We start from the raw sequence: 13,249 nt of genomic DNA, 5'->3' as shown, positions 1-13,249 counted from the left end.
AAGCATCATCGCCAACACCAAAGACCACCTCCTTGGTGAGATCTCTGATTATTTAGGCAGAGTTAGTCTCCCCTCTTTTCTATTCCCATAGTGCACTCACACACCTCTACTATAGCACTTTCCGTGATAAACTTTAGTATTTTCATTTGTGGATATTTTCAGGTCAAAGATTATGTTCTATGCATCTTTGTATTCCTGGCACCTTGCACAATGCTGGCACATAGCAGGTGCTCCAAAGTGGCTGTTCAGTGGGCATCAAGGTAAAGACATCCTCTGCAGAGCAGAAAAATGACAAGTGATACCCTCTGAGCAAGTACCAGGAGAAAAATAATCTGCCCTACTCTTTTAGGGAGATTGATTCTGTGATGTTAGTTATAGGTCAAGAGGGAAATGTCTAGGGCTTACAGATTTTTGTTCCTTAAAAGACTGATATTATACTTTAGCCACAATGTTGGCCACCATGAGGAAGGGTTCAGGAAACGAATACAATTTAAAATATGAAATAAGCATGAAAGGCATTAAGCTCTTGTTAACCTAAAACACATTGTATGTACATTAAGAATATGAAGCGTATTTCACACTTAAAAAACACAAGCATTTCTGTTCTTAAATGTTCCAGAGAAAGGTGAGTAACATAGAGGTGGCTGGACTCAAATGGTGAGCCTCTCCTTTGTTGGTGGAATCAGAGCCAGCTGAGAACCAGGCTGTGATCTTCAAAACCATAAAGACTAAGGACAGGGCCTCGGCAGAGAGTCTGCCAGATCACAGAACAGTAAATCAGATGAACTAAAGCTGGCATCAGGAAAATGAAATGGCAACTCTGTGTAGAAGGTTATAAGCTCAGCACCCTTAAAACAGGTCACAATTATGAAAAAGTTTAAAAGGGTTGACAGAAATTCATAAACAAAAGTTTCCAAAATAGACGTGTCCCAAGTGTCTGCTTAACTTTTTAAGATCCACACCATAGAAGACATTCACACTCCCTTTCTAATTACATTTAAATGACAAACAGACACAAGCTACTAGACCAGATAAAATTTGTGTCTGATAAATAATTAGGTTCTTCTGATGGGTGTGGTTGTTTGTATGGATGTGAGTACAACTGTGTTGTGGTAAGAATATTCTCTATTTTTATCAATCTGAGATTATTTGTATCATTGTGATTACTGTTTTGTCTTAATTTTTCTACTAATTTGCTTTGATCAGTCTATTTGCCACTGAGGATCAGTTCATGTTTTCCCACTAGCCCAGGAGTTTCCAAAAAGAAAGGTACTGTCCCATAAAGCAAGTGAACTCTGTAGTTGTTATTTCTGTATTTTAGACTTCCTTTCCCTAAGGTTCAGAGATATGTAATCTGGTCATGTTGCTGTTGTTGTTTGTTTGTTTGAGAAACAGGGTCTTCTTCCGTCACCCAGGCTGGAGTACAATGGAGCATCACTGCCCACTCCAGCCTCAATGTCCCAAGGTCAGGCAATTCTTCCACCTCAGCCCCTGGAGTAGCTGGGACGACAGGTGCGCACCATCACACCTAGCTAATTAATTTTTTTTTTTTTTTTTTTAGAGGCAGGGTCTGGCCATGTTGCCCAGGCTGGTCTCTAACTCCTAGGCTCAAGAGATCCTCCCAACTTGGCCTCCCAAAGTGTTGGGATTACAGGTATGAGCCATGGCACCCGGCCTGATATGATCGTGTTTCTATGAGAGTCCTTTCCCTGCCTGTCAGGAGGATCACCTCAGTGGGATGCACAGAGGGTTGGTTATGTTCTGCCTCCAAGTCATGGTTCTGGAGAGGCAGAGTTTCCTTGTGGAAACCTCTGATGATATCACAGATTCTCCTTCACATGCCCAGAACATCGGGGAAAGCCCAAGGCATGCTGCAAATATTCAGCTGTCTTGAACAAGTCTTCTCTGAAAACTACCATCTTTGTGTTTCTGCTCATGATGTAACATGTCTAAACACCCACCTGTCCAATGCATCATGGGAATTATGTCGGTTGAGCACCACCCTACCGTAATTTTCATCTCTGCAAAGAAAGAACAAAAGTATGTCACATAGAAAGTTACCACAATGTTGACCAAGCACTAAATGAGAGAGACATGCGGGCGAGCTCCCAATTTTTGGCAAGGTTAATTCATTTTACTTCAGTTGTGAGAACACAAAATTATGTATCTATTTTAACCAGTCACCACTTGAAAGAGCATGAGAAAAGAAACAAGTTTGTCAGTACAAATGATCATTTATCCCATGAGGTTTCCACATGATTCAACAATGAATGAGTGTTGTGTTGTGTTGTGTTGTGTTGTGTTGTGTTGTGTTTTATCAGACTGTGGGAATATGAGCCCATTTACTTTATATGTATTAGAAGAGTCCTTTTTGGCATGAAGTCAAATACAAAAGCTTTCCACAAATTGTGTTTAAGTTTAAGTAAGCCCATTACGTCTGGGTATGTTGGTGGACTTGACAGTTCTCCTTCATAAAATGTGGGAAACTCAGTACCAATATTTGTGGTTAAGGAGATTTATAATTCACAGGAGACCTAGCCTACTTTTGAACCATGAGAATACAGTTTGCTCTAGTTAGTTGTTAAAATAATCCTATGAATTAGGCAGCGAAGACACTGTCATATCCAGTTCACAGATGAGAAAACTGATAGGGGATTTTGTGGCTTTCCTAAGACCACAAGGTTAGCAAGTAACAGAGGTGGGTCTAGGACCCAGATATTTTCATTCCAAATCATTGCTTTTCCTACTGGTCAACCCTACAATCGACCTTCATATGTAAAATCTCAAAGTAATATCATTCTTACTTTGTACAGTGGAACTGAAAGTACAGGCCCTTTCAGGAAATGTCAAAACACGTAGTGAAGTCTTTGGATTTGAGCCAAGGCAGAAAGTAACTGAACCTATTTCATGTCAACCCAACAAAACCTGAAATACCACATTTTTCCTGGTTATGCTCTACTAACATTACTTAACACTCTGGTACCTTTTTTTTTTTTTTTTTTTTTGTAAGACAGAGTCTTGCTCTGTCGCCCAGGCTGGAGTGCAGTGGTGCGATATCTCGGCTCACTGCAACCTCTGCCTCCTCGGTTCAAGCAATTCTCCTGTCTCAGCCTCCTGAGTAGCTGGGATTATAGGTGCCCGCCAACACGCCCGGCTAATTTTTGTATTTTTAAAGTAGAGACAGGGTTTCTTCCTGTTGGCCAGGCTGGTCTCAAACTCCTGACCCCAAGTGACTTGCTCGCCTCGGCCTCCCAAAGTGCTGGGATAACAGGAGTGATCCACCACGCCCGGCCTCCGGTACCATTTTTAATGAAGCTATAAAAGAACTGTAGTAGACAATTAAACAGAAACATAAACAGTAAAAATGAAACAATGCCAGCAAATATACATTCTCAAAGACCCCGAGAGAACTTTCCTATCTTCCTCCATATCTCTTAATGAAATTTTTGAAAGAGGAGCAGATACCAGACATGTTTTTATCTGAGGCGGAATTATAACACACAGCCCAGAACTGGGCTGGGGGAATCAGGGAAGCATCAAAGCCAATTTTCCCTTCATTCAGTAGCTCCTATGCCATCCAAGCTGGCTTCCCTGGGTTTTCCTGGGAAAGCATGCCTGGCATAAAAGCAACATTCCTCCCAACTGTGATTTGTCTTATACATTCTATCGTCACTCGTCTGTGTAAATATTGGCAATCCAAAATGTATGGTCTACATGTCACATGACACTATCACTACAGAAAATTGGAAATGCTTTGACAGAAGCAATAAATGCTGTTTCATGGAAGGAAATGATTGTTGTCCAATAGTGCTAACTCCAAAAGTTAGTGTGAGTCTCTAAATCTCTAAACACCCATATATTTCCTTGAAATAATACTCAATAACAGAAATTAATAGATATTTTAAATTTAACATTCACAAGAATGCCCCTCAAATAACCATATCTGCAGAGTTTGTAGATAGTTTAGAGTAAGTATCCTATAATGCAGGATTTCCCAACTGCAGGACTATTGACACTTTGGGTTTGATAATTTTTTGTATGGGAGCTGTCCCGTGATTTATAGGATGTTTACCAGCATCCCTGTTCTCTACGCATTAAATACCAGAAGCACTCCTCAATTTTAACAACAAAAATGTCTCCCAACCTTGCCAAATGTCTGCTGGAGGTAAAATTGCCCCTGGTTGAGAAACATTCGTGTAATGGAAAAACAATGGGCCATGTTAAAATCTCAACTCTACCACTAAATAGCTATGTGCCATTAGACAAGTTACTTAGCTTCTCTGAGCTCAGATCCCTCTTTTGTAAAATGAGGAGATATAACACCTACGTTGTGTTTTATTGTAAAATTAGTGGTGCTTTATATGTAAAGTATCTAACACCAAGCTTAATAACAAAGAAATCATAAAATGTCTACATAATTTATAATATACACATAACATAATATATAATCGGACAAATACCTATTGCTGGACAAATACCTATTGCAAATCTATATTGCCAATGAGGCTATATGCCTATGGCCATAGTTTTCAAATCTTTAAACCTCTCAGCTAGTAGAAGCAATGCTCAAAACAAACAAAATTTTGTTGGTTGTAAGTACTTACAAAGTAATACCATATATCCCACCTTCCCAGTACTTAGAAGTAGATGGAACTAAAATAAGTCGGTAATTTTTTAAATTTCTCTTGTACATACCAAAATTTTATATGTTAAATTTGGAATTACACTCTTTTTGTTTATTTCAGCTGACATGATCAACAGAGCAGGATTGTCCGATCATGGATTAACTGTTACCTTTTTGGAAACTGGAAAGTCATGTTTTCTTTTCAGTTTACCAAGTAAGCACAAACATCTATCCTAGGTAATAACCAGGCTCTCTCTCAGTAATGACTCACACTCTCTTATGCATGTGGATATTTAAAATGGCAGAAATATTCTTGAAACTCTGATATGTAACCTATTTGTGCTTACTAAGTCTCACCAAAAATTAGACCATGCAACAAAGTGTTTCAGGAGAAAAGTATTCACTTTTCAGATGAGCATTAGCTTCCCAAACAGATAATGCCTCTCTCTGCCCTTCTGTCCACCCACCACGCTCCACACCAGCTTACTTTTCTTCTTCAGGGCGTTTCTTTATCCAACTGTTATCCTGTAAGAAAGTTCTTCTTTTGTTCACCTCGTGAAAATCCTGCTGCTTCCGTGTGGTTCCCTGAGTGGTGCTCTTCATCTCTATCAACAGAAACATGAAAGACTGGAAGATGTAATAGTGTGGAGTTGAGCGTGGGCTTGTTAACCTGAAAATCCTGAGAGGCACATCTGATTGGCCAGCATCAATCTGGGCTGGCAAGTCCAGTACTGTTTCAAAGTAGGATGCACCAGCAAGAAAGAACAGATCCCACACCCCATCACCAAAGATAACACATAAAGTTGCTCAGGTGCCAACTGAAACTGCCAGTGCCACTCATGAGGCCCCATCCAGTTCCTGGGAAAGGAGAACTCCCAGCCTGGGATAAACTGAGCCAGGATTTAGTGGGTTGGCCTTTTTACCCCATAAGAAATATACCCTGGAAGCCCACAAAAGACTGTTTTTATAATACATAGTAATAGTCAATAAGTCCTGGTCATTTGATTCTAAGTAACTTAATTCTTTTATCCTGTAAGAGCCAAACACAAAGAAGGTCATATTTTTAAAAAGATATTTTTATTAATTTTAAAAAAATTGAATTCCAATTACATGACTAAAAGCTGCGACAAGTATACTTTTTCTTAAGCCTAACTTTGCAATGCTAATTAAATTAGACTGTTGTTTCTAAGCATTCAATATCTGTATTAAAGAATTGAGATCTGTGAGTTGTTTTTCCAAAATTTTAAAGTTTTCTGAGTGAGAGAAACATCATGTACATTACCATTTCCTGTGGGAGACATTTTTCTCAAGGTAACATTGGACATGCTGCCTTCCAGTAAGGACCTAAAAGAAAAATGGGAAATAGAGAAAGCACATCAATGACTCTGAGAACCTGTAAGTGACTGTTTCATGACTGAGATTCACTTTTCAATGACAGTGACATAGTCACAGGATCTGTCATAACAAATGCATGACATAAAGTGCCCCTAAGAACCCAAGAGTTCATCTCTTCCAACATATTTGTTTTACAGATGGAGAAAATGAGGCACAGGGAGTTTTGTGATTCCAGTGTTGTATCATAAGCAATCGGTAGAATCAGGCCATCAGTGAATTCATTTATTCAATCAATAATTACGCATGGAATGCTTACAGTCTGCCTGGCACTGAGCCTGGTGCTGGGGACAGAAAAATGAGTTAGACAAGTGTCTGGGCATAGTCAAGAGGGAGAGAGAGAGATTGTGCTGAACCCACAGCACACTGTGAACGCCCAAAGAAGGGCTCCTCAGCTGCTTCCTGAAAAAAGCCAAAGCAAACTCAGGAAACTGCTGTGTAATTAGAAGGAAAGCAGCCAGGCATATGGAAATCACAGACTTGGAGAAACACTGGTGATTTTAGGCAACCGCCACATGGAAAACTCAAAGTTCCTGAACTACTCTTCTGGTGTTAAGGGGTTAAGGTAACCCACAGCACCAGTCTGCCCAGGACTGATCCAGTTCCCCAGAACTGAATTATGACTTTATGGGTCCTAGGCGCTTTTGCCTTCAGGGTCCCTTCTTATTCACACAGACATACACACACACACAAATTTAAAATTGTATCTTATGACTATGTTAGTATGAATATAATCCTGGCTGGCTTCATTATTATTATTATTATATCAATATTTTTCTTGTGATTGAAAGAAATTAAAATTAGAATGCTTTTGTGGATCATAAATATATTGGGGGCCTTTGTGTGCCTTAGTTAGCTCTGGGTCTTCCTGAAAGTGGGACTTTCAGTTTTCAAACCAGAAAAGTCCTGGACAAACCTGGATGGCTGGTCACCCTAGGTGGGGTATTATGTCCTTTCCAGTGTCCATCTCACCCAGACTGTGTAGTATGGACCATAGGAGGGGCATTCAAGCTCAAGTCAGAAGCAAGTTTTAGGTCCATCTTTATCACGTTCAACGTCTGAGAATGAACCACTTAACCTCCCTGCAAAATGAGGCTATTGAAACCTGCCATCTACTTCCTAAGTTGCTGCGATGATCAAATGAATAATGTACATAAAAAACTACTTTGTTAAACTATCAATGCTATTGGACTTAAGGCAGTATTATTGGACAGCTGTCTATAGCTATAATTTGGGGTTCTAAAAGCCCCCACCTCCTATCCTCTAATGTGAAAGTATTTCCTGCAACAACTTGCCATAGGACCTGAAGTAGGAAAGACACACTGCTTTGGGTCAACGTATTATTTTCCTTGGGGTCTGTTTCTGGAATGTCAGTAGCACTGCAGAAGATCAGAGGTGGAGGCTGTAAGTGTCCAGATCAGGTTCCCCTCACCAGTCTGAAGCTTGGCAGCTACAGGCTCATGACTGCACCTTCCTTGAGGATTTGCCCTTCGCTGTTAGGCCTGACTGGTTTCACAACCTCCCCACTCACTACAACCTGCTGACTGACTCGGGATAAAAAAGGTCAGTCCCTTGCCTCAAGATAGAATCACTTCTATCCAGTGACTCGCACTTCAGAGCTGGGATCCGGCTGTAGTTCAACCAGCAGAGAGCACATCCTTGCTCACTTCCTTCGCTGGCCTCCCCCTGCCTCACTCCCTTCTCCTGAAAGCACAGCCTCAATAAGCCACAAGCACCCAAATGCCTCTCAGAAACGGCTTCTGGGAAACCTGACCTAAGATGTGGATTAAGAACCAATGTATTCATCATGACCATTACCTTCACAGGGACCCGCAGCTGTTTGCTGCATGAATAACCAAGAGTCTGAAGATCTTAGTGGAGTTAGAAAGAACTGCATCTAAGTGATGCTGTTTACTGACTGTGTCACCTTAGGTATGTTATTAGCTCAGGTCTCTTATTTGCATCATGAGGTGAAATAGGAACATTATGAGGTTCAAATATTACTAGATAACATATGTAAAGTGTCTAATTATTGCCCAGCACACAGTAGGTGCTCAGTAAGTTTTAACTCCATACTCTATCACCTTGACAAGCAGAGAGCAAAGACATAGGAGACGTATGGTTGGATGTGGGAAGGGATGGGACAGACTTGAACTTGGGCAGCTGAGCACACCGGGAGTGTCAGGGATCCCCTGGCTGGCTGTGTTTGGAGGCTGCATAGATAAACTCTGGCAAAATGAAGGTAAAGAAATACCTAAAGGCAAACTTAAAGCTCAACTAGTGACTATTTTGCCTCTGTCTGGCAGTGTGTCTCAGGACTTTTGGCTAGCCTCTTTCCTGTTTCTAAATGGGCTCTGATATATTTTTTTTTCTCTTAGCCGATAAAGACCTGGAGAGTTCTCAGCTGATTGCACTGGAATTCTCAGGTGGTCAAAATGCTGAATGCATAATTAATGATACATCTGCAGAGACAGTAAATGCAATTGTGAGACAAAAGACAGGGTATATGGAGAAAGAGTATTTTACAATTATCTGCTTATTTTTCTGTACCTCCCAAGAGACTGTTTCCAGTGGGAAAGGCCTAAATCTTTTCTTTCTATTCCCAGCATCTGGGAGAGAGTAGGTGCTCCCTGGGTGCTTGTTATTGGCCAAGTCACGTTCCTCCAAAATTCGTATGTTGAAGTTTCCACCGCTAGTATCTCAGCAGGTGACTATATTTGGAGACAGGGCCTTTAAAGAGGTGATTAAGTTAAAACGAGGCTCTTGTTCTGTTCTTGACACCACATATCTACAACTATCTGATCTTTGACAAACCTGAGAAAAACAAGCAATGGCGAAAGGATTCCCTATTTAATAAATGGTGCTGGGAAAACTGGCTAGCCATATGTAGAAAGCTGAAACTGGATCCCTTCCTTACACCTTATACAAAAATTAATTCAAGATGGATTAAAGACTTAATCATTACACCCAAAACATTACACCCAAAACCATAAAAACCCTAGAAGAAAACCTAGGCATTACCATTCAGGACATAGGCATGGGCAAGGACTTCATGTCTAAAACACCAAAAGCAATGGCAACAAAAGCCAAAATTGACAAATGGGATCTAATTAAACTAAACAGCTTCTGCACAGCAAAAGAAACTACCATCAGAGTGAACAGGGAACCTACAGAATGGGAGAAAATTTTCACAACCTACTCATCTGACAAAGGGCTAATATCCAGAATCTACAATGAACTCAAACAAATTTACAAGAAAAAACAAACAACCCCATCAAAAAGTGGGCGAAGGACATGAACAGACACTTCTCAAAAGAAGACATTTATGCAGCCAAAAAACACATGAAAAAATGCTCACTATCACTGGCCATCAGAGAAATGCAAATCAAAACCACAATGAGATACCATCTCACACCAGTTAGAATGGCAATCATTAAAAAGTCAGGAAACAACAGGTCCTGGAGAGGATGTGGAGAAATAGGAACACTTTTACACTGTTGGTGGGACTGTAAACTAGTTCAACCATTGTGGAAGTCAGTGTGGCGATTCCTCAGGGATCTAGAACTAGAAATACCATTTGACCCAGCCATCCCATTACTGGGTATATACCCAAAGGACTATAAATCATGCTGCTATAAAGACACATGCACACGTATGTTTATGGCGGCACTGTTCACAATAACAAAGACTTGGAGCCAACCCAAATGTCCAACAATGATAGACTGGATTAAGAAAATATGGCACATATACACCATGGAATACTATGCAGCCATAAAAAATGATGAGTTCATGTCCTTTGTAGGGACATGGATGAAATTGGAAATCATCATTCTCAGTAAACTATCGTAAGAACAAAAAACCAAACACCGCATATTCTCACTCATAGATGGGAATTGAACAATGAGAACACATGGACACAGGAAGGGGAACATCACACTCTGGGGACTGTTGTGGGGTGGGGGGAGGGGGGAGGGATAGCTTTAGGAGATATATCTAAAGCTAAATGATGAGTTAATGGGTGCAGCACACCAGCATGGCACATGTATACATATGTAACTAACCTGCACATTGTGCACATGTACCCTAAAACTTAAAGTATAATAATAATAAAACAAACAAACAAACAAACAAAAAAACGAGGCCCTTAGGGTGGGTACTAATTCAACCTGACTGGTGACCTTGTAAGAAGAGAAAATTTCGAAACACAAAGAGACACCAGAGGAAAGGCCATGTGAGGACACAGTAAGAAGGTGGCCATCTGCAGGCCAAGGAGAGAGGCCTCAGGAGTAATCCAAATCTGCCCAGCCCCCACAACTGTGAGACAATGATTTTCTGTTATTTAAGTCACCCGTCTGTGGTATTTTGTTATAACAGCCTGAGCAAACTATGGAGTCCTTATGAAAAAAGTAATTTGAAGAGTTATAAAATAGGCAAGTCATTCAAAGAGCTTTGGTCTACACTGCCCTTGATCTGTGCCCTCTTTGAATGGTCTATTGCACAGGGCAATTGCTAATAGAATAAAGATCCACTGGTTGAGCCCCCGCCCTGAACAGGGGACCTCTCAGGCATTGTCTCTCATTTTTCACATAAACTCTGTGGGGTGGCTGTTGGTCCCTCCAACTCCCAGATGAGACTACCGGAGCTCAGAGAGAGGATGCAACATGTCCAAGGTGTTAAGAGGCTGCATCGGGCTTCTAAACCAAGCCACGCCCTCCTCAGCAAACAGCACTAATGCCCATCAGGAGTCACTGCAAGACTAGGCTGCTGCCCTGGTGTTAAAGCGAGAGTGGGAACGTGGATGCAGGGGTTTGCCTGGCCCTGAGCATCTCACTCCTTGGAAGTCCCATGAGCTCTGGTCAAGTGCTTGGTACCAGGGCAGCCTCTCAATGAACTGCTGCAGCAAACAAACCTTCACAGGACAGCCTTCTCTGTGTATTCCCCAACATTCCTTTGGTTAAAAACATGTCCACACAAAAACTTATACATGAATGGTCATGGTAGCACATAACAGCCAAAAAGTAGAAACAACCCCAATGTCCATCAGTGGATGAATGGATACACAGCATGGCATCTCTGTGCAACAGAATATTACTCAGCATAAAAAGGAATGAAAATACTGATTCATCTTACAATGTGGATGAAACTTGAAACATTAAGTTAAATGAAAGAAGCCAGACACGGAAGAGGACACATTGTATGATTCCATTGATATGAAATGTACAGAACAGTCACATCCATAGAAAAGAAAGTGGATTAGTGTTTTCCAGGGGTTAAGGGGAGAGGTGAATGAAGAGTGACTGCTAAAGGGAATGGGGTTTCTTTTTGGGGTAAAATTAAAATACTCCGGAATCAGATAGTGGTGATGGTTGCACAACCTTGGAGATATATATATATAATATATATATATATATATATATATATTTTAGACAAAGTCTCATTCTGTCACCCAGTCTGTAGTGCTGTTGCATGATCTTGCCGCACTGCAACCTCTGCCTCCTGGGTTCAAGTAATTCTCGTGCCTCAGCCTCCTGAGTAGCTTGGACTACAGGTGTGTGCCACCACATCTGGCTAATTTTTTTATTTTTAGTAGACACGCAGTTTTGCCATGTTGGCCAGGCTGTTCTCAAACTCCTGGCCTCAAGCCATCCACCTGCCTCAGCCTCCCGAAGTACTGGGATTACAGATGTGAGCCACCACACCCAGCTGTGAATATATTTTTTAAAAAGCACTGAATTTTACACTTTAAAATGGTGAATTTTATGGCATGTAAATTATATCTCAACTAAAAAAAAAAAAAAAACTGGCAGCAGGCCAGGCCATCTTTGAGCTGGAGAGGCAGAAAAGACACTCTTATATGGCCCGTGCGGTTTTGCCAGAATAAAATGGAATCAGATTATATTTCACAAGATTATCCCAGTCCCATCCTCATGGGCACCTCCACACACTGCTAACAATTGAGCTCTCCCTGGTATGCATCTGTATCAACTCCTAAATGTTAAACTGGTGTCTTGAGTGACCCGTGGATCATTCATAATTGTGGCCTGAAAATATGCTCTCTGACCCTGAACTATGCAAGCAGCTGTTAAACTTATACAATAAAGACAAGCAGGCCTAGGCTTCTGTGGAACTCACAAACAGAAGCCACGTAAATAATATAAACACACATACTCAGGAACATCCTAGTTTAAAACTTTCTGTCTTCTGATCGGATCCTAGTTCCCATTTGTGGTTTGAAAAGAGTCACACTATTGTACAGGAAAGCAGAATGAGAGTTGCAAGGATAAAGTCAATCACAGGCAAGAGAATGTCTATGTGAACTAACAATGGGGTATAGCAGATTATGTGACAATAAGAGAATGTGATATTCTACCACGTTACCAAAACATGTAACCATTGGGTAGTGTGTTCTCTGTTATTTCAATTGAGCACCTGCTATTTTAAAATATATATTATATATAAAGACATACAAATGGCTAACAGGTAAAATGCTCAACACCACTAATCATCAAAGAAATGCAAGTCAAAACCAAATGAGATACCATCTTACTTCAGTTAGAATGACTATTATTAAGAAGACAAAAATGACAGATGCTGGTGAGGATGCAGAGAAAAGAGAACTCTCATACACTGTTGGTGGGAATATAAATTAGTACAACCTCTATGGAAAAGAGTATGAACATTTCTCAAAAAACTAAAAGTAGAACTACCATATGATCTGGTAATTCCATTGCTAGGTATCTATCCCAAGGAAAAGAAATCAGTATATTAAAGGGATACCTGCATCACATGTTTATTGCAGCACTATTCACAATAACAAAGATATTGAATCAACCTAAGTGTCCATCAACAGACAAATGGATAAAGAAAAAAGGGTATATATGCACAATGGAACTATACACCCTGCTCATAAAGACATACCCAAGACTGGGTAATTTATAAAGGAAAGAGGTTTAATTGGATCACAGTTCCACATGTCTGGGGAGACCTCACAATGATGGCAGAAGGCAAATGACAAGCAAAGTCACATCTTACATGAGGGCAGACAAGAGAGCATGTGCAGGGGAACTGCCCTTCATAAAGCCATCAGATCCCATGAGATTTATTCACTATCTTGAGAACAGTATGGAAAAAAACCGTGCCTCCATGATTAAATTACCTCCCACCAGGTCCCTCCCACGACACGTGGGAATTCTTACAACTCAAGGTGAGATTTGGTTGGGGACACAGAGACAA

At 40.7% G+C, this 13,249-nt stretch overlaps 1 protein-coding gene across 25 annotated transcripts in view; it reads right to left on the bottom strand.

Moving 5' to 3' along the window:
* SCEL (sciellin) overlaps nucleotides 1-13,249 on the bottom strand; it is a 109,558-nt gene that overhangs the window by 83,439 nt on the left and 12,870 nt on the right. For all 25 annotated transcript variants that reach the window (NM_144777.3, XM_011535290.2, XM_011535283.2 and 22 more), the window contains exons 2-4: nucleotides 5,907-5,968; nucleotides 5,112-5,229; nucleotides 1,962-2,021 (exon numbers count right to left, since the gene is read on the bottom strand). In NM_144777.3, coding sequence (NP_659001.2) covers nucleotides 1,962-2,021; nucleotides 5,112-5,229; nucleotides 5,907-5,949 — 221 coding nt within the window. In that variant the 5' untranslated portion in view covers nucleotides 5,950-5,968. The remainder of the gene's footprint in view (nucleotides 1-1,961; nucleotides 2,022-5,111; nucleotides 5,230-5,906; nucleotides 5,969-13,249) is intronic.

The sequence above is a fragment of the Homo sapiens genome, chromosome 13, assembly GCF_000001405.40.
Source record: "Homo sapiens chromosome 13, GRCh38.p14 Primary Assembly".
Taxonomy (NCBI): Eukaryota; Metazoa; Chordata; class Mammalia; order Primates; family Hominidae; genus Homo; species Homo sapiens.
This window is presented reverse-complemented; position numbering and strand designations above follow the sequence as displayed.